The 27006-nt window shown below is 36.8% G+C and overlaps 1 protein-coding gene across 2 annotated transcripts in view; it reads left to right on the top strand.

Moving 5' to 3' along the window:
* The window catches only part of SYT10 (synaptotagmin 10), a 65582-nt gene extending 38929 nt beyond the window's left edge, over positions 1–26653 (top strand). For both annotated transcript variants that reach the window (NM_198992.4, XM_011520644.4), the window contains 4 exons: positions 15600–15720; positions 18371–18542; positions 20930–21059; positions 23990–26653. In NM_198992.4, coding sequence (NP_945343.1) covers positions 15600–15720; positions 18371–18542; positions 20930–21059; positions 23990–24061 — 495 coding nt within the window. In that variant the 3' untranslated portion in view covers positions 24062–26653. The remainder of the gene's footprint in view (positions 1–15599; positions 15721–18370; positions 18543–20929; positions 21060–23989) is intronic.
* Positions 26654–27006: the final 353 nt, after the last annotated feature.

Here is a 27006-nt window from a genome sequence, read left to right as displayed (position 1 = left end):
CCATGCCCAGCTAATTTTTGTATTTTTAGTGGAGATGGGGTTTCACCGTGTTGGCCAGGCTGGTCTCGAACTCCTGACCTCAAGTGATCTGCCTGCCTCGGTCTCCCAAAGTGTTGGGATTACAGGCGTGAGCCACCACACCTGACCAAGACTAATGTATTTTCAATATTTAAATGTAGTTTTCCTATGCATACTCAAGAAGCCATTGAAAATATAGGTAGACAAGGAAAAGATTTCCTTTTTTTTTAACATAACTACCTTCATTTGCATATGTATTTATTTACTTACCTATTCAATGAAATTTTTTTTTTTGCACCAACTGTGTTCTACACACTTTAAAATTCTTGCAAGTAAGGAAGTTGCTTGTGTATATCACATTGACCTGGTTACAGTTATAAAATGAATCTATTATATTCTAACTAAGCATCTGTCAGGTATTGTTTGAAAGAGTACACCTTGACAGGACAAGTACAAAGGAACTGTTGTATTCATTGTATCAGCAATTCAGAGTATTGGATGCACCTGCTGAGCTTCAGTTTGAAATAACATATTTTATTACACATTACTAAAATTTTTTAATATTTAAAATTATTTTTAATCTAGAGGTGTCTTTTTAATTCTACCCCCAATCATCCTGGATCAATCATAGGATCAGAATAATACTATATATTTTTCCCATTTAGCTATCAATGAATTATCTTCTAAAGTTCATTAACTATGAAATATGTGTCAGCTAATAACATTTTAAAGAGTGGCAAAATTCCAGTTTTATTTTAAGGAAAAGAGTATGATGGAAAGTGGGGCAGTAGGGAGCAAACCTTTCTGGTCAGGGGCTGTCTGTCTTACCAGGTCTCCTGGGGTGTAACAGTCAGTATTGTAGCTATCGACCTGCAGGTTGGGACAATGAACCCACATCTGCTCCTCTATGAACATTCCTAGTTTTCTGTTTCATCTCTGCGATAAACCTGGCCTTGGTGTGTCACAGATTACACGTCTGCTTATGGGCCACCAGTAACTGATGATAGATTAACTCAAATGATGAAAGTAAATTCCATGAACCTGTATGTAAGGTCTTTTACTTTGCGAGAATTGATGGGAAGCATCTATGTTAATTTAAAATTAAATTTAACTTCAGTTTAAAAATAGTAGAGTCCTTCATATACTATCATAAGACCATGAGAGTTCAGTTCCCAAAGTATGATTTTTCTTGGCCTTAACATCTGCCTAACTCAGCCAGCCTACTTAAAGGAGCTTTGTCTCATGAATAATATTAAATAAATCATCATAATTTATTATGTTATTTTCAGGTTAGATCACATCTATGCACATTTAGAGAACAAGGTTTTGTTGTCTGATCAGTGTGTTTTGACTACTTTTACTTTCATGGGAAAGATTGTAGGTAAGCGGCTATAAAATAGCCCACAACAATTATTATATTAGCCTTTTATTAGCAGTTTAAAGAGCAGCTTCCTGTAACATTGATTACAGCCTTCTGTTTTACAAAACAAAAAAGTCAAAGTTAATGAAAATCTGAAACTTAAATTTGTGCCACCAGTTTTAAATGTAATTCAGCATTGATGCCATGCTTTTTAGATAAATCTAGAGTTGCTGGGTAAGCACAGTACGATATGTGCTTCCAGTGATAGACTCATTGGAAGGGTGTCATTTGAAAATGAGTATCAATCAGCCACTTAAGGAATAGCTCCCAACCGTATTTTAGTCATAATATTTGGGGTTGTTTGAAAAGCAAAAGGATGATTTGTTGCCTAAATTCATCACATCTACATAATTTCCCATTTAAATTCCTACATGGTTGTACTGGTAAAGATTATAACTCCCATCTAGCTTCCCCACTATATCCTTGAGACTATCTCTTTCTCTGTGTCTGTAGTTAGAGGCAATGTAGCCTGTAAGTGCTTAATGAAGCACTGAAGTCTCTGTAACAAACCCACATTTCTTTATACTCCTGCTGTGTCACTTATCTCTGTATGGCTTGACCAAGTTACTAAATCTCTCTAAGTGTTAATTATAGTATCTGTAAAATGGGAATTATGAGAAGGCTAACCATAGTTTGTTGTTAGGACTAAATAACATAAGTGATTAGCACAGTCAGATATTTGTAAATGTTCCATATATGCCATAGGATATATTTTATGGTAGGTTTTTGTTATTGTTTAGATAGCTATCATATTAAATAGGAATAAAGACCTTGATGCTAAAAATTATATCATAGTAGTAGTATCATAAGGGATAATTTTAAGTGTTACATTTTTCTATTCAAGTCAGAAAGTTTTCAGAGTTCCTTTAATTCTTTTTAGTTACTGTGTGCTGTGATTCAGTGAGTAGATATTATTGCTTTTTGTTTGTTTGTTTGTTTTGAGACAGAGTTTCGGTCTGTCACCCAAGCTGGAGTGCAGTGGCATGATCTCGGCTCGTTGCAACCTCCGCCTCCCAGGTTCATGCCATTCTCCTGCCTCAGCCTCCCAAGTAGCTGTGACTACAGGCGCCCACCACCACGCTCGGCTAATTTTTTGTATTTTTAGTAGAGATGGGGTTTCACTGTGTTAGCCAGGATGGTCTCGATCTCCTGACCTCATGATCCACCCGCCTCAGCCTCCCAAAGTGCTGGGATTACAGGTGTGAGCCACCGCGCCCGGCCTGATACTATTGCTTCTTTTTATAATGTATGATGTGTATACTCATAATGCCGTCTGGCCTGGACCTCATCTCCTACCTGGAGACAGTATCCCAATTATTTTTCACACATTCATTGAGGATTTTGGCATCTTCATTTCTCTCCACTTCCACTCTGGGTATCACCCTCCTGAACACCCTATTCCACTGCCTATCCTTCCCATCCCTTCCGATTTCTGACTCTACCTATTCTTTATGAACTGGCAGTTAGTTCTAACTTTCCCTGTTCATTTCCGCCACTCTCCTGTATGACTTCTCTGCATCAATTTCACCTCACTCAAAGCAATAGGTTTCCAGGCCCACAAGCTTTCTTATTGACTGATACCTCTGCCTGAAATGTCCATTGTCCCTGTTTCTGCCTGGGAAGCCTCACTCATCTTTTTATTTTCAACTCAGATTCATATTCTCTTCCTTGGGAGAGTCAGACTTCTCCCAAGGAAGGGGGCTCCTTGGGCTTCTTCCTAGGGGAAGAGGGCTCTCTTCCCTTTCCATTAGGCACTTTGTTCCCTCTGTTCCCTCACCAGTCTGCATCTTATAAAACCTCAGAAGCTGAAGATGCTGTATATCTCCTAGGTGTGTCTTTAGGTTCAGTGAGTGCTGTTCTCTACCCTGTTTGGTGCCTCAAAAGGCTGGTCGGTTTGGTTCAGACTTTCTGTCCTGAGGCAAGACAGAAAGGGCGGAAGAATGACCTTGGGAAATATATTTCTGTCCATTGCTCTCTTCCCCTGCAAGAAAACCTCAGGCTGTCTATGCCCTTCATCTGAGGGTACAGTTTTTCTCAAAGCAGGCCTTTTTTCTGACCACTTTCTTTCTGAATCCAGGTAACTGTCCCCACTTGCTGTTTAAGTCCTAGTGGTCATGACAGCCTCTGCTGTTACCACTCCAGGGTAACTGTCTCTTGTGGTTCCTCCTCCCAGCTCACATCTCTGTGAATAGCCCTTCACGAAGCCCTCTGGAATTACTCTGATTTGTGTGTGCCATCTGTTTCCTGCTGGACCCCTCACTGATACTCTAAAGAAAGAAAATGTTTCCTAATTACAAACTGGTTAATTTCCTATAACCTTTCTGGACCATGCTGTGTATGTGTCTGTATATCTATGTGCTCATTACCTTAGGAGAAATCAAATTAGTCCTTCAAAGGCTGATGATAAGACAAGGCTTCAACCACAGAAAGTTAGAAAGAGCCGTGATCATTGCTAAAACACTCTACACTTTATTACATAAAGAACTTCAAAGGATCTCCTTAATGTGGAATTCTGGGCCCAGCACGGTGGCTCACGCCTGTAATCCCAGCACTTTGGGAGGCCGAGGTGAGTGGATCACGAGGTCAAGAGATTGAGACCATCCTGGCCAACATGGTGAAACCTCGTCTCTACTAGTCCCAGCTATTTGGGAGGCTGAGGCAGAATTGCTTCAACCCAGGAGGTGGAGGTTGCAGTGAGCCAAGATCGCGCCACTGCACTCCAGCCTGGCGACAGAGCGAGACTCCATCTCAAAAAAAAAAAAAAAGTGGAATTCCACATTTCATTGCAATTGAAAAAGTAAGAATTTCTGCCTCTTAAGATTTCAGACACAGATTATAGGTCATTTATTAAGAGTAGCCTGGAAAAAATAACTCTCTGTGTTAATTTTATAGGTTCCAAAACATATTTTTATGTTCCCAGTTTCTTACCTTAGAAATTTAAAATATAAATACTTATAAAATGCCACAGATGTTTCTGCTTTTTAATTAGAGTATTCTGATGTAAATTACTCTTTTATTAACAGTAGTGATCTTTGTGACCATTAATTATATAAACTTAGCAGATTTTCATTTCTGTCCAATGTTCTCTTATATTTAAAATATCTCATCTCTGTTATAAGTTTGCATGCTTCCTGCATTCTTTACTGCTCCAATTTGTTGCTTTCAGGTTGAATAATCAAATACCCAAATTACATAATTGTATATAAATAAAATCAATATCTTAAATCATGACCTGAGATCTTGTTCTCAGAGAAAGTGCATAAGATTTGTAATAGGTCAGAAGTCTTTTCATACTACCTTAAAAGTTCATGGGCATATTCTGGGCAGGATTTTGAGAGTCTCATGTCTAGATCATATAATCATTATTTTAGAATTGGTAAAGAGTCCAAGTTTAATCCTTTCTTTTTATAGTTTAGAAAACTGAAGCCCAAGGATGTTAAGAAAATAATTAAAATTAACAAAGCTGATTAGTAGAAGAGCCAGAACTAGGTGTTAAATCTTTCATTCCTAGTTCAGCTGTTCGCCCTGAATGATATTAGAGTTTTACCATATTTGAAATATACTAAAGAGAAAGGAAAAGAAATGAATTTTCTTGTGAAACACGGAAGTCCAACTATTGGCTTACAGAATTGGAATTGCCGAAACTAATATAATTTGAATTACAGAAATTTGTAACATAATACTTGTGGCAAAAACATATGCATAAGGCCTTTAAAACTTATAATCCTGTCAAATCTGTCTTGTAAAACTGTGACTGATATGCATAGAGAACTAAGCAATGCTTCTCTTTGCCTTGTTTTAAAAATCAATTGGAGTCAATGTTATTTCAGAAAATGTCCAGGCAATTTTTCTCTTTTGGATGGAATTAACAAAAAATCCATATTTGGGTTATTATTCTATCAGCTGTGTCCTGGTGTATTTTAATGCTTGAAGGTTGTAGGAGATAAAGAGAAGCTATTTAGCTCCCTAATGCTCCAGCAACATAGCTGGGCCTATTGTAAGTTCTAGGAATTTAGTGAGGTTCCAAAGATACTGTTAAAAGTTGTTCTATTTCTTCCTTGCATTTAACCAGTATAACTATTATTAGTTATTAACACACTCATATAGTGACAAGAATATGCAGATGCTTTTTAAATGCAAATGTTCAGAATAATTCTTCTCCTCCTCTGTAACAGGCTGCATTAAGCAGTTTGCTATAAATCAAGTATCTGATTTTCTAATTTCTAAAAAACTTTTTCAAAGAAATATAGTACCTTATCTGCTGGCTTTGAAATCTAAGACCACAAAAACAATTTTGTTTTTCTGGCCACTAAAATTGTAGGCACTATTTCTTTTTATGTTTTGTTTTGTTTGTTTGTTTGTTTTGAGACGGAGTCTCGCTCTGTCGCTCAGGCTGGAGTGCAGTGGCGTGATCTCGGCTCACTGCAAGCTCCACCTCCTGGCTTCACGCCGTTCTCCTGCCTCAGCCTCCCGAGTACCTGGGACTACAGGCACCCACCACCACGCCCGGCTAATTTTTTTGTGTTTTTAGTAGAGACAGGGTTTCACCATGTTAGCCAGGATGGTCTTGATCTCCTGACCTCATGGTCTGCCCGCCTTGGCTCCCAAAGTGCTGGGTTTACAGGCGTGAGCCACCGTGCCTGTGTAAGCACTATTTCTATTAGGTAAAGCCACAGAGTAAAGTACGAAAGTACAGGAATTAAAATGCTAATGAGTATCCTTTAATTAGAATCCTGGGATGGTTACCTTTAGCTGTATCGCTTAGAATAAGTTGCTTAACATTTCTGAAATTATTTCTTCATCCACAAAAAGAGATTTGTAATAATATCAACCCAACAGGAATATTTTGAAAGTAAAATTAGATAATAAACGTAAAATGTTTGTAAAATTTAAAGTTTCTAATTGTCAGTTATCCCTGACATGCTAGCATGTTGCACATAGAGAAAACACCTTCTTGTTATCCACTCGACTGCTAATATCCCAGCTACTTCCATGTCCTAAAGTTCTTGCCCTAATATTTAGATTTCTTAAATGTATTACCCTCATATTTTGAAAAAATGAATGAGAGATACTGATGCCTTAACTCTTTTCCTAAATCTTAAAAAATGAACAAAATGTGGCAATATTATACAAGACTATGCCATGATACATATTGCATTAAGTCCTGCACATTTAATTCAGTAAACCAGAGACCTTACTGACTGGATACCCATTTTATTCATGCTTTTACAGTGCTTTTAGATTTTTCAATATCTATCATCTCACACCCCATGGTAAGTAAAAGGAAGCTGGCACCTATCAAATACCAGTCTACGGAAGAGTGTAGATAACTGGACACAGAAAATTGTGCCCAAACACACTGTTATCATAACAAGTAGACTGCTAATGTTCTAATGTATAATCTACTTATATAGGGAGGAGCAAGGATCTTACACCCATCAACCCAGCAAACTTTTATTTAATTCTCCTGTTTACCAGACACTCTTCCCAGCATCTTAGGACATAAAGTGTTCCTTTTCTATAAGGCCAACATTCTAGAAAAGAAGACAGATAATAATGAAGGAAATATACAATATGCACATGAATGAAGGCACGTACTATATGAAACATGAGGCAGGGCAGGAACTAGGCAGTTGTAGTGGAGTGGGGGCCACCCTAGATAGAGTGCTCAGATAAGAACTCTCTGATGAGAGTGATGGGAGATGAAATCAGAGAGATAGCCGAGAGTCAGGTCATCTAGAGTCTTCAGGCCATGGAAAGAGCTTTGGGTTTTATTCTGAGTGACATTTGAGGCTATTGATGGCTTTTGTTGAGAAGTGAGCCATAGACTCCCTTAGAATCAATAAGATCTGTGGCTATTACGTGGAGAAGAAACTTTGAGAGCAAGAAGTGGAACAATGTCAATCAATTTAAGATAGACTCTAAAATAGTGGAGCCAAGTTCATCCAGTCTGGGTGTCTATATACAGCAATACTTACAGGGACTCCTTTAAGAATTTTGTAAAAATATTTAAAAGCATCAAACAGTCTAAGGAGAGTTGTATATAGTTTATTACACAGGTTTTCATGCCCCTATCTGTAAATGATGATGGAAGTTTGAGAATAAGTCTCTGGTTTTTTGCATCCAGAAGCTTATGATTATCTCTTAACCAGTATGAGGAAGAGAAGAGTTGTTATGAAATTTGTATCCTTTTTTTGTGTCTCAAGTTGCACTTGTCTCAGTATCTATGTTGGGCTATTCCCTCTTACTTCACTGTCTTCATTACACAGCTAATTTTGAGACTTGATTAGTTAAATCAAGGAAGGATTGTTTTAAGGCCTCAGCTCTGTCACTTTGTGGCTCCTGATAGCTAAAGTCCATGGTTGTGTTGGATAGGACAAGAGCTAAACCATTCTGGCATCTATGAGGATGGTGCAAAAGTAATTGCGGTTTTTGCAATTTTTTTTTTTTTTTTTTTTTTTTTTTTTAATGGCAAAAACCACAATTATTTTTGCACCAAACTAGTAGTTATTTCCCATTTGGAAGGGAACTGAAAATGGATCTCCCATTGAGCAGAAACGTGGGCATTCTTAAACAGTGTCCTGGCAATAGTAGCTCTGGGTGGTTGCTGTTAATCGCTTAATGCCCAGAGGGGTTTTGTAATTATCCTGTCTCTAACACAGCCATGTTCTTTGCCCCGTTCCTGCCCTGACCTCAGCTATGCTTCACCTGGATTTAGTGCCATGGCCAAGCACAATGCTTAAGATTATGTGCTTAGTATAAAATTCATTCCTTCTTTCATGCAGAAACACAAGGAGGTCCTGCTAAAAGGCACCTGGTGAGCATTTTCTTTATCTTCAAGTAGAGAAGGCAGAAAAGAGTGAATAATGAAAATATGATGTAAAAAATCCAGTAATCTCACTAGGTTTTGTGATAGAAGCCTCCTTTTCCTGTATCTTCCCTGACCTCTATGGAACACAATGAAACCTGATTGAATCAGAATCACTGGGAGGAAGAGGAAAGGCAGGGAGGGCGTGTTGTGCAAAAATTGTGCTTCTTTGAAGGAAAAGGGGAAAGTGGGCTAGAAACTGGAAAAGGGTTACAATGTTAATTACATTTCCTGATTGTACTCCATCAAATTGCTTCTTCCTCCCTCCCATTTGCCATCTAGAGTCAGTAGACTGCATGTGCTGTCTGGCTGGGGGAAATTACCAGATATGTAAGGAAAAAGAGCAATTTACAGACCTTAGGGATACATTTGATTCTGAAATTTTAGTGTGCTATAGAATTACAGCAAACATAATCCCATATCACACAAGACTAGAGAGCTCTATAGAGAAATAAGGTCCAATAAAACTAATAGATAAGTATCCTCTAACTGTAGCTCTCCAAACCTTGCATGTATCTTTAAATGGCTCAAAACTATTATGACTGGTTTATTGTATTCTCAAGGTCATCTTACGTGGGCAAGCACTTGCACAATTTTAGGAAATTTCATTCACACAAACCACAACACCCGTAAAAAGTGTCTTCGTCACTTGTTTTCTAGTTGCTGGTAGCTTTCACTCCTTCAAACAGTAGATGCCTCTCCTGCAACTAACGGAAGTCATGACCTGGCCTGATACCTTATTATTTATTTACTCATTTAGTAAGCTTTTGTATGAACATTCACCTTATGATAATCACTGACCTCAGAAACATGGTTTTGAGCAAAAAAGAAAAGTAGTATGTTTTCTGGCACCTACTGTGTGTCAGGCTGCAAACTGCACTCTGACATATATTGTCTTTGTATATTATCCCTTTTAAATATAACTGCAACCCCTCCACATAATTGTTATTAGCCATAAAAATGGATCTCATCCTGACTGCAGAGACAGTCAGAGGTGATTTGATTATGTGCTCCTGAGGAGAGGCCATTTAGAATAAGGCCACTGTGTTGCCATTCAAATCATACTCTGGCATTGCCAGAGCCAGTGCTTTCTGTTTGACCTTCTGGTCATCACTGAGCACTCTAAGCCTCCCCTCACAGCCTCCTTATAAGCTGACCCCTCTGTTTCTAATTCCCTTTGCCTTTACTCATTTTTCATCATTTACATTGTCACCCACCTCTAATGCCCTCCTAGATCGTCATGGAAAGAATCAAATATCTTTCATCGCTCTTCCCATAATTAAAATCCAAGTATCTCTCTAGAAAACATTTACAAAACAAGATAAAAAAAAATAAAATAAAATAAAAAGCAGCCAGGCGTTGGCTCACGCCTGTAATCCTAGCAGTTTGGGAGGCCAAGGTGGGCAGATCACCTGAAGTCAGGAGTTCAAGACCAGTCTGGCCAACATGGCGAAACCCCGTCTCTACTAAAAATACAAAAATTTGCTAGGCTTGGTGGCATGTGCCTGTAATCCCAGCTACTCAGGAGGCTGAGGCAGGATAATTGCTTGAACCCAGGAGGCAGAGGTTGCAGTGAGCTGAGATCTTGCCCGCACTCCAGCCTGGGCAACAGAGGGAGACTCCGTCTCAAAAAAACAAAACAACAACAACAACAAAAAAAAACGTAATTTAACATTATGCAGACCTGTGTTATCGTTAAAGCTTGTCCCCTAATTAATTGTGTGGTGTTCTTCAAGGTTAAGTAACTTGTCCAAAATCACATATAAGCCCTAGGAGGAGAAAAATTGTGTCTTAGTCGTCAGTGTTTCTTCAATGACTAGAAGAGTGCTTGGCATTTTTTATGCACTCAGTAAACATGACCGTGCTAATGAATGAATGAAAGTTTAGAGATTGACCAGACATTATGTGTGTGTGTGTGTATACACATACATATGTACATACATGTATATATGTTTACACCAGGCACTTTACATGTTTGCTATCTACCTTGCAAATTATTTATTTTATATATATATAGAGGGTGGAGTTTTTGGGTTGTGGGAGCATAATAAAAAATTTGTAAGATGAAGGCAGAAAAAAAATGTAGAGACTAGATTAGTAGGGGCCACATGTGTCATGTCAAATAGTTGGGACTTCATATTGTATATCCTGCGTGTCCACCACACATCAGATAATCCTCTTGAGAATTTTAGCGAGCCAGAAGATCGTATAAATGACATTGCACATTTATTATCCCGTATGGCCTTTCCTCATGAATCCCCAACTAGATCAAGCCTGATACGCTCAGCCTTGAGGATTGGATCCTTCCTCCTCTAGCATATTATCTGGAAGTTTAAATGATAGCCACTTTTTATGACTACTTGTTCTTGACCTATAAATTTATCTGTTCACATCAGCGATTGTTTGTGGTCTTTTCAAGGAGGCTCCGCCAGGACTATAGCAAACAAAGCCTGAAAGGGCTTGACCAGACATTCTCCAACATGCCTAAACTATATATGTTATTTAGTTCTCATTTTTTACCAGTGCTTAAAATTACAAAATTTTAGAGCTGGAAAATAAATTAGCTCATCTCTTTGAGCACCTCATGTTATACCAAGGAAACTGAGGTCAAGTGAGGTTAAGTAGCTTGTTCAAGGTTAAATTCCAGGTGAATGAGAAGTGTAGGTCAGGGAGAAATACATTTTACAGTGGTTTGAGTCCAATAGACCCACTCTGGGTCTGTATTTTGTTGTAGCTTATTGTGTGGGCAGGTGGATGAAGGACTAGTAACTTGATGAAGAAGCTCATTTGATCTAGTTCTACATCTCACTTTTAACTGTGTGAAGAAAATCATCTGTTTTCTTACCACCAAGGAAATGTGGAAGACAGGCTGCATTCAAGGTGCTAAGTTGATGTAATGACTGCTATCACCACAGCAACCAATTATTTGTTTAGTTTTTTTTTCAATACGTGTTAATGATTCTTACTTCCTAATATATCACTGAATTCAAACTTTCCCTCAGCCAACATCTTCCCACACCAACTTTACTTCAATGGCCTCTTTCTCTTATGTCTTTTTTCATCCTAATCTAGCCTACTCAAGATAAAGAAATTTTTTTTCAAATATTATTTTCATTAACATCATTATTGTTTTTGAGTGCCTGTTTACACCAGGCACTTTACATGTTTGATATCTACCTTTTGAGTTACTTATTATAGTCTTCATTTTATTTGCAATTAAACTCAAGCTCAGGGAGGTCAAGTATTTTTGCCATGTGCTTGGGAATAGAACGTGGAAGATTTGGTATTTTTAACTCCAGTTTTTTTGACCCAGGAACCTACGCCCTTTCCACTCTGCCAAGCTCCCACCCTTTCATGTCACCAACACCTTGCCCATAGAAGACATCAAACAACTACATCAAGCCTAACTCTCCTCTAACATGTTTCCAAACTCCATATTTCTCAATGCGTACTGACCATTTTATTTCTGAGTATAATCATAGTACTCACGTACAGCATTATTCCTCATCACCCTGTGAAGTCCCATCTGGTTAATTCTTTAAGCCCAACCTAATGATTACTTTCCTCCAGGAATACTTCTCTTGGTTAATAGACCTTCTAGTTATGGAGGCTTTAATCTGCCTTCTCTCCATCTCTTACACTCCATTGCTACAGCTTGATTTTACTATTAGTCCTGTAACAGGATGTGCAATGCAAATATTTGCATGTCAATTTATCTTTCCAGTGACTTTTATTTTTATTTTGGAAAGAGACTACATGGAAAAAACTTTATAACTGTGACTCAGTCTGTGAGGTTGACTATAGCCAATCATCAAAAAATGGTCTTTATCTACCCAGCTACATTCTGGTGGAGCCAGCATGAAGAAATCAAATTTATAACCTCTGAGCCAGCTTCAGTGTTACCCTTTTTTCATATGCTCCTTTTCCAAGTAGGAACTCTGAAGATTATTATTGTGATTGTTCAGCGAAATAAATTAGTGTGTATGAGAATGGAATAAAAATCTTCTTACCCAAAATAAATTTTATGGAATACTGCATCCTAGACTTTATAACAGGCTTTCAAATGGTTATTTGCCCCAAAATACAAGAATTTTTCAGAGGTTGATATGGGAAACTCATGTTTATATAAAATTGTAGAAAAATGAGACTACATGCAATTTTCAGAAACTCAAAGCCTTACTCATTTTAAGCTGAAATTATAATACCACTTTAAACATTTTAAGCATTTTGGATAAAAATAATCCTGAAAGATAGTGCACATGTCTCTATTTTCTTGAACAGAACATATAGGATATATTTCCTTACCTTGATGACTCAAGGTCATTACTTTAAATATTATTTACTGTTCAAGTCTGTAATAAAATGTTGAGTTTAAGTTACTGAGGCATTATTATTGTTTAATACCCCTAATACAAAAAGATTCCAATTTGCTATTCTTTTTAGAATATTTGCTTCTTTTTTTTAGCAGTTTTGTACCTTTGTAGCTATTTTTACTTGCTGTCTTCACTAAACTTACTGCTATTAATTTCCCCATCTCCACATTGCGTGTGTGAGATTGGACCCGCCTGTAACCCCAGCACTTTGGGAGACCGAGGCAGGTAGATGCTTAAGCCCAGGAGTTCAAGACCAGCCTGGCCAACATGGTGAAACCCTGTCTCTACAAAAAATACCAAAATTAACCAGGCTTGGTGGTACATGCCTATAATCCCAGCTAGGCTGTGGTGGGAGGATCACCTGAGCCCGAGAGGTTGAGCCTGCCATGAGCAATGGTTGCACTACTGCCCTCCAGCCTGGGTGACAGAGTGAGAGTCCCTGTCTCAAAAAAAAAAAAAAAAAACATGTTAGAAGGAAGAGAAGGGTGTTCCTTCTTCAGCAGTAGGCTGTGCTCTTTCTGTTTTTCTTCAACCCTCTTCTATGGGATCTTGCTCACTATTTTTGGTCTACAGCAATCCACTAGCCCAAAGGATATCCAGTTGGATATACCTTTCTTTCAAAATAGTTTTTGTTTACTAATAGTCTTGCAATACTAATCACTTCCATTATTAAGCTTTTCATTTATCCAGTACTTACTGAATGCCTGATATATCTAAGACACTGCTGTATGTGCTAGCAATACAGTAGTAAACAAAACATCATTCCTTATCACATGCCAAACCCTGTATAAAGTGCCTTATGCTTTATTTACATTATCTCCTTTAATGCTTACAACCCTTGTGAAGTGAGCGTTATTCTCAATTTGAAAATGAAATTTTGGAGATTAAAAACTTAATTGAATTTCCCAGGACCTCACTTTTAGAAAGTAGAAAACTGGGGGTCAAACACAAATTTAATTAGTTTTTTCTCTGAATTACTGGTCTGTACGACTTCTAGACCATGAATAAAGAAATGAGAATCATGTAAATCAGAACCTGAGCTATATGAGTAAGCCCAATAGATGTTAATAGTGTATCATGAAAAAAGTTTAAGACCCCAGCTCTGTGGACCTGGGTGCATAATCAGCGAGTTATTTCCCCCAAAAGTAAACCTGCCACAAATTTCTTACCAGGCATGGCTTCACTGAATCCTGTAAACAACTCTTTAAGGAGCATCCTAAATTGTCCATTGTCCACATTCATTTTCATTTGTCCACCATCTATGCAGTCAAAGACCACATATAAATCTATATCAGGGTACTGTGGACAGTTCTGCTTTATAAAAATGAAATAAAACAGGTCAAGTTTTATCCAGATTAATTAAATAATGTATTCAGTTCTTCAAAAAATATGAACTGGTATGTATCAGCTATGCACCGTGCACTTCAGTACGTTGTAGAAAGTAAGACAGCCAAGAACCCTGCTCTCCTGGGTGTTATATCTGGGAGTCAGGGAAACAAACAAAAAAGAATTTAAAGATGATATCAGACAATAAGTACTACAAAAATATGTGAAGGGTCTGGGAGTGAGGTGAGTATAGGATATGAAGGATGTACAGTCTCAGAATGAATGATGGGAGAAGACCCCACTGCAGAGATGCTGTTTGAGTTGAGTTCTGCATGGTAAGAAGTCAGCCATATAAAGATTTAAGAGAAAGAAGTACTAGTCAAAGGGAAAAAAAAACACACAGAGGCCCCAAAGCAGGAACAAACTTCATTTGTTTGAGTAACACACACACATGCACACACACACACAGAAAGACATTTGTGTCTGCATCAGACCTTGGAGGGGAAAGGAATGAAAAAATGTTAGAGAGAAAGGTAGGGCCCAGATGACATAAACCTTATGTGTGTGACGTTCTAATGTATTAGCCAAACAAAGACATATTTAAATGTGGACAGATTGGAAGGCTGAGGTGGGCACATCACTTGAGGTCAAGAGTTTGAGAGCAGACTGGCCAACAGTCGAAACTAAAAATACAAAAATTAGCCAGGTGTGGTGTTGCATGCCTGTAATCCCAGCTACTCAGGTGGCTGAGACAGGAGAATTGCTTGAACAGAGGTGGAGGCTGCAGTGAGCCGAGGTCATACCACTGCACTCCAGCCTGGGCAACAGAGCGAGACTCTGTTTCAAAAAACAAATGTGGACGGGGATGTTTTTAATAATTACACCATAATAATAGGTATAAACCAGGAATGTCCCAGGCACACCAGGACTTGAAGTTATTCCACTTACATGCCAGGGTAAGGAGTTTGGATTTTATTCCACTACAGTTGTGATCCCTTAAACAGTTTTAAGCAAGAGATTTGCATTTCATAAATGATCACCTTGCTGTGTGAAGATTAACTTCTGGAATGAGAATTTTGTTTTAGAGGCTAGTGAAGTAATCCTGGCAAGTGGTGATGGTGGCTTGAATGGCAGTAGTAGAGCTGAAAAGAAAGTCACTGATTTGGGATATATTTTGTAGATAGTGTAGACAGGACTTGCCCATGGGTTGCTCATAGGGTGAGGATAAAAGAATAATAGTCACTACTGGGTTTTTGGCTTCAGCCTTTGGGTGAATTATGATGCCGTTTGTTGATTGCGGAAACACTGACAGAAGAATCAGTTTTGGAAGATGATGGGGCATGGGTGGAATCAGTAGTCTGGTTTTGACTATGTTGTTTGAGATTCTTGTTGTAAATACAAGTGGAGATAGCAAATAAGCAACTGGGATACACTCTTTTTGCTTACTGCATTCAGAATAGCTTTCTTGCAATGTTATCTGTATTATCCTCAATAAAACAATTTAAAATGACATTCCAGTATTCTACTAAAATGATTATTTTTGGTTTTCACCCTTCAATGTTTGAAATTGCTAACATGCCGATTGCCTTTCTAGGAAAGTATAGACCTGGGTGAAATCATGTTTTCCCTTTGTTACCTACCGACGGCTGGGCGTATGACATTGACAGTCATTAAGTGCAGAAATCTGAAGGCGATGGATATTACTGGCTCATCAGGTATGTACACAATGGCCACAGGACCAAGGGCACAATCTCAAATGAAATATTTCATGTATCTAAAAATGATACATGACTACTGAATTATTTGCCTATAATGGGAGTACTACAAAAGAAAAAAAAAGATTACAAATTTAAATGTTCCAATTCATCTCTTTTATATATGTTATCATTATGAAATTTTTAAAAGGTGTTATCAAATAGATCTGAATTTGGGTTCTTGTTTCTGTTTCTTCCACTACCAATTTAGTACTGTCTCAAAAATACATAATTTACCATCTACTCCCCTACTTTCAGCTAGTCAGTTTTTATAAAGGAAGATTCTTAGGCTTAAGCGATGAGTGAGGCCATGTGAAGATATGTTTAGTCTGAATTTATTCCCCTCACCTGATCTGCAGGGAAATAGCCATGTTCCACGACTACCATTTGCATTTGCATTTTTTCCACCTAACTAAAAATTTGTGCATCTGTAGGGTCTGAAATAAATAATAAAATAAATTAATGCTTCTTGAAGATTCTGAAAGAAATTCTTGAAGGAAATTCTACTTGTGCTAACTTTGACAAAAAGATAAAGATACATCATGCTTCTTCATCCCTTTATTTAATTCACTGCAGTTCTGGGTAATTACTTAGAATTTAATACATAAACACTGGCACAGCTCTGTGGAAGAAAAATGATAAGGGAACAGTAGGGAGACTGGTAGGTATTTGTTGTAGTAAACAGAAATAAGAAATAGTGGTGGAAATAAAGGATGACATTTGGGGAAGATCTATAATTTGTGGTTTTGCAGAACAACAACAAAACCTAAATTTGCATCACAAAAAAAAACATAAGAGAACTGTAAGTTCTGGTGTGGAAATAGCTCCAGGATGTACAAGTGAATTTTAAAAAGGAGGTAAAAAATTAACATGAATATTATGCACCCTTCTGTGTAAGAATGGGGAAATTTGGAATATGTATTCATATTGCTAATATCTGTATTAAAAATACTGAAGTGATATACAAAAACTAAGGGATGAAGAGGGATGAAGACAAATGAGAGAGACACTACTTATTGTATATCTGTCTATCATGGATTTTTGAGCTATGTCATGATGTTCATTTTTTAAAATTTGCGATACATAGTGTGTATGTGAAAGTAGAACAAGTAAATTCTACATTAATTTTGGTGAAAAAGTCTTGGGTCAGTAAATGTTGAAGAATTTAAGATAAACAGTGTACTCTGCAAATTGTTTATTCTACTCCTTTTTACCATGTATGAAAAGAGATCAAATTTTGAGACAAGAAAACAACATCAAAGTTATAATTAAGTGCAAGATTACATTTTATTTATATGAAACTTTTCATCGGAGGAGCGCATGCTTTGAGAGCACCTCCTCATTAATCCTCACAACAGGGTTGTGAATCAACCAAAGACCCAGTAAATTATCCTTGTCACAAGCAGAGAAATGTAGTCAGAGACGTGACGGGAATTACAAAGGGTAATCTATGCCTCTCATTCTCACTGTTCATTAGAAGGCCTAGGCCTGTGGGCTCAAACACAAAGCTGTATCACAGAAATGAGCTTCTCCTTAGGACATACTTCATATTATTTAAAAATTTAAAAATAAATAGGAAACAGACATTAACATGACCCTGTTATCTTGTTTTCCTCTACATACCCTATTTCCAGCCACGAATACCTTGCTTCTTGATGGGAATACTTTGGAAATACACAGATACATATTTCAAGAGTCTAAGAAGCATTCACATGCTCAAATAAATTAATATTGCCATCATTTTGGTTTATTCTATGGAAATAAAATGTAATACTATGGAAATAGGAAAAAAGAAATATTGGTGCTACAGTTAGAGGATGGTCAGAATGAAAAAAAAATTGATAGCAAACACTGATTGTTTAACTATCTAGTGTACTCAACCCAATGTCAGTATCACCTCCCAAAACCGTGCCTGCTTTGAATAAAAGGTGCAAAAGTAAGGCTTGTTGGAAATTTTGTATAACCATCATATAATGTTCTATAATACTATAGCAGTTTTACAATTTAAGATGGTAAGGGTAATAGGATAGATGTCAAGTCAGCTGTAGCAGAACTTGTCAACAATTATCTGATCCCTTTGGCCTGTAAAAATGTAGCCCAACTAAATTTTTCCCCCGTAATTGGCATGATGTAGACAATGTCATATCAGGAGGCTTCTTTTTGTGTGGCCATCTTTAAACCAAATATCCCCCCTTTTATCATTTACTGTTGTGCATGCAATAAATCACTTGTAAGTATCATTTTTTTCCATCCAAGTTCCTTATCAAGCAAATGATATTTTTAATTTTAGGTCCTTTTCCAGTAATTGAAGAAAATTCCAAGTATAGCTTTCGCTTTCTAATTTCTGCTTATTGTGATCATCTCTATCTGTCTAGGTACAGAGTTGCTAAGTCTTTCACAAGTTTTGATCTTCTTACTCTAGACCATTTTGAAAGAAACTAACCTTACTACAATTACTCTTTTTTTTGGAGACAAATTTAAAATTGGTAATACTAAAGGTCTTAATATAGGCCTTAGTACTATAGGTCTTATTTAGTAAAAATAAACTGCAGTTTTATTTATGCTTTGTACTATTACTTTTATTTTAATAAAGTTATCTTCTTATTCCTAGATCCTTATGTCAAAGTGTCCCTGATGTGTGAAGGTCGAAGATTAAAAAAGAGGAAAACAACTACAAAGAAAAACACTCTAAACCCTGTGTACAATGAGGCCATTATTTTTGACATCCCTCCAGAGAACGTGGACCAGGTCAGCCTCTCCATTGCGGTCATGGATTACGATAGGTATGTGTATCTCTCTTCTCACTGAAGAGCAGCCATGTCTAGTCATGCGCAGGCCAAACTCAGCTTTTCAGGTCATTTACTGCCACAACAGTTTTAATTTAAATTGGAGGAGGGAATAATGATTCCTTGAAAATTCATTGTTTTCTGTGTTATAGTTCTGGATTTTCATTTCCAAAAGAAGTCATCTTTAAATTAAAATTCACCGGGGACTGGTGAAAGAATGGGTCCAGAAGTAGTATAGAACATATTCAAGAAAGCACTATTGTGGAGTCTTTTTATAGTAACAACAGAGATTACAATCAACAGAATTTGTTTTACCAACTAGGCTGGAATATGAATATCATGATGCTTACCCGAGTTCTATCATTAACTAGCTGCATGAGAGGACATGTTACATAATCACTTTGAGAATCACTTTTCCCATTTGTAAAACTTAAGCATCATACAGAACTGTGAACAACGAGGAGTAAGAGTGGAAAGTGAATAAGTAGTCATAAGGATACAGCTTTGATGCCTTCACATCAATCTTAAAGCATTGCTTTATGGATAGTTCTTCCAGATCACACTCTTTGAGTCACTCCTGCTTTCATGAAAACATTGCAACCTCCCCTATGCAGCTCTGAAGATCCTTCCCACTGCAGCTCTTACCTTTGCCCTCCCACTCTCCCCGTTGCCTGGACTGTCCTCCAGCTTTGTGTATCATGTCCCACCAACACCCCACAGCCTGGCTTATGTCAGCACCTCTGTAAGTCTTGCTTTGCTGACCAATCCTCTTCTTCCTCTGAACTCTTGTCCCATCAATGGTTTATGTCTCTTATTTGGGCCTTACTATATACTTCCTCTTATTATTTTGCCCTTTATATTTATAAAATCTTTGGAAATGAATACTTGTGTTTTTAACCTACAAAATTATCAACACATAAACAGTACCTTAGTATATTTATTTTGTTCTAAAACGCACAAACACACGCTAAGTGTCCATTTTATAGTATCATCACCAGGACCCTGTAACTGAGAGATATTAATGTGCTCTCCTCTGGCTTAGAGCTAGGGGGGGAAACACTGAAAAATAACATTTGCAAGCACTGTCTACTAGAAATGAATTTATAATTTTTAAAAAATTTTAACTTGTGACTACTATTTAGAAAGAGAGAGCGAACTCTTGAATCCATTGAAATTTCAAACTAAAAAAGTTGCAGATGTTTTCATCAGGGGCCCTATTCTGCTTTGCCAATTACCCCTATTGATTTCTCACAGCAATAAGTGTAGGTAGATACAACTGAGCATTTGTCACTGGGGCAATTTTAGGGAAATGGATGCTAACAAGATATACACAGGAAGACAAAATTTTTGTACCTAAAAACATGCTTGTTTGGGAAATTTCATATTAAAGAAAATAATACTACATATACATATCTACATCAATGATGGAAAAAAAAGTAATGAAATTGTTCTAAAATCATCTCAAAAGTATCTTTGGAGATGTCTGTCAAAATTGAAACTCCTTTCAATGACATTCCATTCTTGAGAAGCAACTTAACCACAAGTGCTCTTGAGCCAACAACTCCTTTGATTCAGCTCCTGTCTCTGCCTCTTACTAAGTGTGTAAAGTCTGGCCAGCTCCTAATCTTCTGGGCATTTAGTTTATTCATAAAATGAGAGAATGATAATAATGATATTCATGGTCATGGTGGGGGAATTAATTGGGTCAGTACATTTAAACTACCTAGAACACTGGCACATAATAAGCTCTCAAAAATATTAACTGTTATTATTATCATCTTGATTCATTGCTATGAAAGCAGGACCTGAATAGAATATACAAATGTTGTCCAGTATGTTTTCTGTTATGCAAAAATAAATCACATGCCATGCAACTGAACATAATCCTGCCCTATTTAATTGTAATGCAAGTGGTAACACACTGAGGTATCATTTAGAGTCAATTAAAGAAAATTGGTACTGCTGTATTTCTTGGTGAGAAATCTAAACATCGTTATAAAACATTAAGCTTTGTGGAAAGAACAAGATTTGTTTTACATCACTTGTATTAAATAAGACTGCTTCCAAGAAAGACACTCATCATATAGGTAAAGACCTACTGGTATTTCTCATTCATGCCATTTTTATTATGATGAAATGTGCTTAAACTACAAAGCACTGAAATGGTTTGTGTGTGCCTCTTATACACATTCATTTTTTGAATGTTGATACTGTTTAGTAAATGTTGATTTACTTAAGAGATTTCATTCGGTCTGAAGTAGCATAATCTGCAAAATTACAGAATCTAATGTTTTAATCATATTTTTAAAATTCTACTACGATTTGTGAAACCCCCTTTATCTTTGAATGTTGGAAATGAAAATATAATATCCCACAAATCATAGGGTAGGACACAATGAGGTCATAGGAGTGTGCAGAACAGGACTGGATGCTGAGGGTCTTGGGCGAGACCACTGGAATGAAATGCTGGCCTATCATCGAAAACCAATAACGCACTGGCACCCATTGCTGGAGGTAAGCTTGTGAGTTCCTTACGTCTGCTCTTTTTGTTGTCTCTTTTGCTTAAATATTATTTATTTGCTAACCTTTATCTGATATTTTATGTATTCACCCTTGTTAAAAAAAATAGAAAAGATTGTTCTTGCTTTTGTCCCACATTGTCTAACATTTAATATTCAAAGTTCTGTGTGCCTTCCTGGATTTTAAAAAACACTACATTTTCTGGGCTTCATATTCTTTTGGACAGTAAGCCATTTGCAAGTCTCTTTTTTTTTTTTTTTTTTTTTTTTTTTTTTTGCATAGCCTGAAAACTTACATCAGTGAGTGCTGGAGCAATCTAATAAGTTTATTACTAACTGGAAACTGCATTTTTGTCCTTCTCTTCTGTAAAAAACAGCCACCTTACCTAAAGTGTTCCACAATCCCTAAATAAAGGTGCTGTCACCTAATATAACTTTTCTGCGTAAGGGGAAAGATATGTCTCCCTCAGCTCTGGTCAGGAAGTAAAACTGCCCACAGGTTTTTAAAATATTGGGGTGTCAGTTTAGTCGAGTTCAAGGCCTGGCTCTGCTGTGTGACTGCTTATTGTGAAACCTCGGGCAAGTTACTTTACCCTCTGTGTTTCTGCTATGACTCTGAAATAGTGGTAAACTCAGAGTAAAACTAAAGAAATGATGAATATTAAGTGCTTAGTGCTTCTTGTTCTGGCACTAGGGACTGGATTGAATGGGAGAGGCTGTGCAGTATCCCATTGACTAAATATCAGTGGGACGAGGTTCTAATCTCAGTTTAGTCACAAAAAAAGTGACCTTGGCTTTGTTACTCAGGACGTGTTAAGGGAAATAGGATGAACACCAAATGAGCATTGCATGCTCACACAGGTGAACTGTCATCGTCAATATCTGTTTATATGTGAATGCGTCAAGTCTTTATCTGACTTCATAATTTAGTATAAATCATAAAAGACAGACACACACACACACAAATGCATCTACAAACACACACACACACACACACACACACACACACACAGATACCCAGTCACTTGGTGTTTTCCCCTAGAACTTTATAAGTATAGACGTGTATTCTCTGAGTAGCTCACGGCTTGGAAAGTTATTATTTGTTTCAACAGTGGATGTTGTCTAAAGTACACTTTACTGCTTATTGTATAATTAGTATTCTTTTCCTGGTTCTGATCTTTTCTTAAGTATGAAAAGTGAACATTAATTCTAAAAATCTAAAAAGGAGAGTAAAGCCATGTTGGGCAGGAACTCACTCTGAATGGAGAGGTGGATTCTAATTTTGTTTCTCTGGCTGTCTACTTCTGAGCAGCCTGTTCACTACGTCTCCAACTACACTTCTCCATATTTAACAAAAATAGAACTGCATGCCTCTACCGGCTTCACAGGGATGATGCAGGGAGAAGTGAGATAATGTGAGCAAGAACTCTCAAGGAATGAGAGAAAGGTGCTTTATGACCCAAGGCATATTAATTATTTATTAGTGCTTAGTAAGCAGCTTTACTTTTCTCTGATGAAGGGGAATTATGTAATAGGCACATGTTTGTGTTTGAGAATGTGTAGACACTTTTTTGTCGTAACTGAATATACAGGAAGATAAGCTACAATATAGTCATCAGAAAAAGATCCCAGATAGTTATTGAGAACAAGATTGTGTAAATGTACATTCTCCAGCAAAATAGCTCCTTTTAACCCCTGCTCCTACATTCACTAGTCAAACAGAATATACGGACTAGGGACCTAAGAACTAGCTGGATTGTGCATTATAGGAAAAATAAGTATATAATTATATATGTTATTGTCACAGAAAGCATAAATATGAGAAGGGAACAGTTATTTGAGAGTTGTGTCCATTGGTACAACAAAGACTAAAGTATCATGTAGAAAATCGGGTTCCTCAACCGGGTGCGGTGGCTCACGACTGTAATCCCAGCACTTTGGGAGGCTGAGGCGGGTGGATCACTTGAGGTCAGGAGTTCAAGACCAGCCTGGCCAACATGGTGAAACCCCGTCTCTACTAAAAATACAAAAATTAGCCGGGCTTGGTGGCAGGCGCCTGTAATCCAAGCTACTTGGGAGGCTGAGGCAGGAGAATTGCTTAAACCCAGGAGGCGGAGGTTGCAGTGAGCTGAGATCTCACCACTACACTCCAGCCTGGGCAACAACAGTGAGACTCCATCTCAAAAAAAAAAAAAAAGAAAAAGAAAAAGAAAATCAGGTTCCTTTTATCTAGATAATCATTTGTTTTGTTGTAATTAAACTTTGTAAATACATACAGGCATTTAAGGATTGTGAGAAAGTATCTCTGTCACTTGGGGCTCCCATCTGCCAAACGCAGTTCTCATCTCATTAACTGCCTTAAAGCAAGTGGAATGCAGTCTCTTGTGTTTAGAACCTCTTACTGCTCTTTCCTAGAAATCTTCCCTCACTAAAGTAAACCAGCCTGGCCAACATGGTGAAACCCGATCTCTACTAAAAATACAAAAATTAGCCGGGCGTGGTGGCGGGCGCCTGTAATCCAAGCTACTCGGGAGGCTGAGGCAAGAGAATCGCTTAAACCCAGGAGGCAGAGGTTGCAGTGAGCCGAGATGAATGGTTTACTAAAGTAAACCATTTATTTTTTATAGAAAAGAGCTAAAACCCTGTTGTAAAATTTGAAATTATTCTGCTGTCATAAATAGTTGTCTACACAGGGCTGCTCCATGTACATCTGTGTACCATGCTCTGCCTACATTCTATGAGACATCCATGTCCCTTCATGGTAGCAGAGAAGGTAAGTTCTGAAGGGCAAAGGGAGTTATGTATTTCCTTTCTTCAGAGATTCGCATATTATGGTTGAATATTCACTATTTAAAGGGAGCAACAACTAACCACTGTGTTCTATTTCTGTACTAGATCATACATTATGAAATTTTTGTCTTTCAGTTACCTGGCCGGGCGACCAGTTTTGATAGTCAAGGATCCTGCCCTTCTCCTAAACCACCTTCCACACCATAATGCCTCCAAAATGAGACCATGATATTAAGCATCTAGGATCACGTGCTCATTGAATCAGAAAAAAAGTGGAAGGTTTGGTTTCCTCATTTGAAATATATCCGTACTAATGAACAAACTTGATGTGCACTTTTTTATTTGCTTTTATTGTTGATTTTTTAACTTTGAACATCAATACATTTTACTTGAATACATATAGTCCTTAGTTGCATAAGGCATTTTATCCTTCGTATCAAATGCCTGTTAGCACAAAGAGTGTTTTACTATGTTGTAATTCTTTGCATATGAAATGTTTTTTTAAACAGTTCATACTTACCTAAAATTAAATATAGTTTATGCTGCTATTGTATAAAGTAGCACATGTCATATATGTATGGGTTTGATTTTGTTATACTGTGTTCATTTCTAGTTGTGCAGGTGGTTCTGTATAAACTTAAAAGGAGATTTTGAACTTAACTTACACAACATTAAATCCTTGCACAATCAAATTAATGTTACTTATCTGATAATACTTTTCTTTCATTCTCAGAAAATTACTTTCTTGGTGAGGTTTGGCTCTGCTAAACTCAAAACTTGTCTCTCAAGCTTGTTCTTTAAAATACATAGACAAAGCTGTAAATTTAAAGAATCATTTTGAATATAAATTTAAGAAGTAATACTTATTGGCTGAAAAACGGAGGCTGAGCCATTGTGGCTACCATTTTACACTGTTTTACTGTAACATTAGCTCAAATATCTGTTGCACTGTTCAACTGATATTTTTAAAATTCTAATAATCTTCATCTCAAATGTAGCATTAGTATTTCTAAGTGAACAGAATCAGAAGTTAATTTTTAAGTGTTTGTAAGGTTCTCAAGTACTGTGACATGTATTTTTTTGTGACGTGTATTTTTTGTGACTTGAAGCTATCATATAGATCCTGTATTTCTGATAGACCATACTAACAGACACCAAAGGAACAACAACACTGTCTGTGTTCATCACCGTTTAGATTGTACACAGTAATGGTGACTCTTAAACCCAGTCAGAAGCTCATCATTGGAATTCAGTATTTTCTTAAAGAAAGGATGATTTATTTTCAGCAACATATAGAAATATACTATAAATATTAATAATACAACTTCAATGCTTAATAATAATAAACAAATTAATTCTAAAGGCCCAGGCCTCCAGTCCTTGCATGAAAGGCATTTGCCTTCATAAGGATCAAGGTTCAGGCCACTACATGTAAAAACTATGCAAGTGTTTTTACAAGACAGAACTTTCTTTTAAGTCAGGTCAACATATTTTGTCCCATTTTCAGGCCCTGTTGGAAGGTATCTATACTGAATTACCCCAACCTTACTTTTAAGATGTGTGGTATAGATAGTATATATTTCAAGCTTATTTCAAAATTGGTGGTTTTTTTAAAAAAAGAGGCAAGAAAATAAAAACATATTTACCTGGATGAGAAAATTTTATCAGCGGTTATGAAATTTTTATTTTTGTAAAATCCCATTATTTCTAAATATTAAAAAAAAGTTTTAAAAGCCTTGAAATTTTGTTGACATCTCTTATAGTGATGGCATTACTGTTAATTAAGAGGTAAATATTTTGCACATTACCATTTTAAAGGCAAACACAGTTCTGCCTCAGATTTTTCAAAAATGCTTATACCACCCTAAGGAAAACAGGTACTCCTAGCTAACATTTTCTCATTGAAAATAATAGAAGAAAGCTGTTTGGAAACATTTGGCTACCTTGTCGAGCCTAAAAGAATTATTTGCTATAGGTAAAATGAAAGATGACACTTGCATTTTGAAATTATTTGTTTTATTGGGAAATAAAACTTTTCAAATAGGAAGACAAAAAGTTATACTATTAATAGAATGACATTTTTGGAGACAGTTGTTTTATTAGTAGATATAACTGCAGCTTAAAGTAAATTAGCAATTACGTTTCCTAAGTGAGTATAATTATTTTCACCCAAAAACACATTTTTAAGGACTTTTTGTTGATTCTTAGAAACTCGCTTTTCTTTACTCCCTAAGGAGAAAAAGCCAATGCTTGTGATGAAAAAATGTGAACCATTGGCCAATCAGAAGACTCTAATATGGGAATTGTAGATTAAAATAAGTTTTAAAAGAATTTTTTAAATGTTTCCTTGAAGTTAGAATAAACTCATCATGCAAGGATATGTGTTAATCCTGAGAAAGAGATCAGCGAGAGGAAATTCACCACAACTCATCTTTCATGTAATTCAGGAGGTAGGTTTATGCTCAGATTAATAAGGCATGATTGTTAAAAATGACAGTTCATATTATTAAAATGTAATCCTAACAATTTTAATACAACACACCCTCACTCTACACAGCCCACACATTCATATACACATAACTTACCATCTTTCTGCTTGTAATTGAAGATGAAATATTTTCAGTTTCAGTATTTAAAATAAGATTTGATATTACAAATCCCCTTATTTGTGTGGGACATCACATTTTAATGACAGTACTGACACATTATGAAGCTGCAGTTCAGGTATATAATGAACATCTAATTTCAGGGACTTCTTCAGGGACTTACCAAATATCAGTCTAGGAAAAAAAAGAGTAAGGGTTGATTCATTAGCATAATAACATTGATATTCTTTTTAGTTTTAGGGGAGGAATTTGTTGTTGTTTTTAACTGATTAACCAGGCAATCGGGCGATGAGGGAATTGAATATGAAAAGAACACTCATGTTTGTGGAGTATATCTTTTCATAAAACTCAGAACATTGTTTTTTTCACACTGGTTTCCTAATAATATTTTTCCCAACAATTGTTTTTGTCAGGCCAACCCTGTGTTTCTGATACTTCATTTAACATGTAAAAATTTCCATACTGAATATATTCACAGTTCAGCAACAAATATCATGAGGACTAGTGCTAGGGGAATAAAGACAGGAAAGCAGAGCCAAGCACTCA

This window comes from Homo sapiens, chromosome 12 (assembly GCF_000001405.40).
Source record: "Homo sapiens chromosome 12, GRCh38.p14 Primary Assembly".
NCBI classification, from domain to species: Eukaryota; Metazoa; Chordata; class Mammalia; order Primates; family Hominidae; genus Homo; species Homo sapiens.
This window is presented reverse-complemented; position numbering and strand designations above follow the sequence as displayed.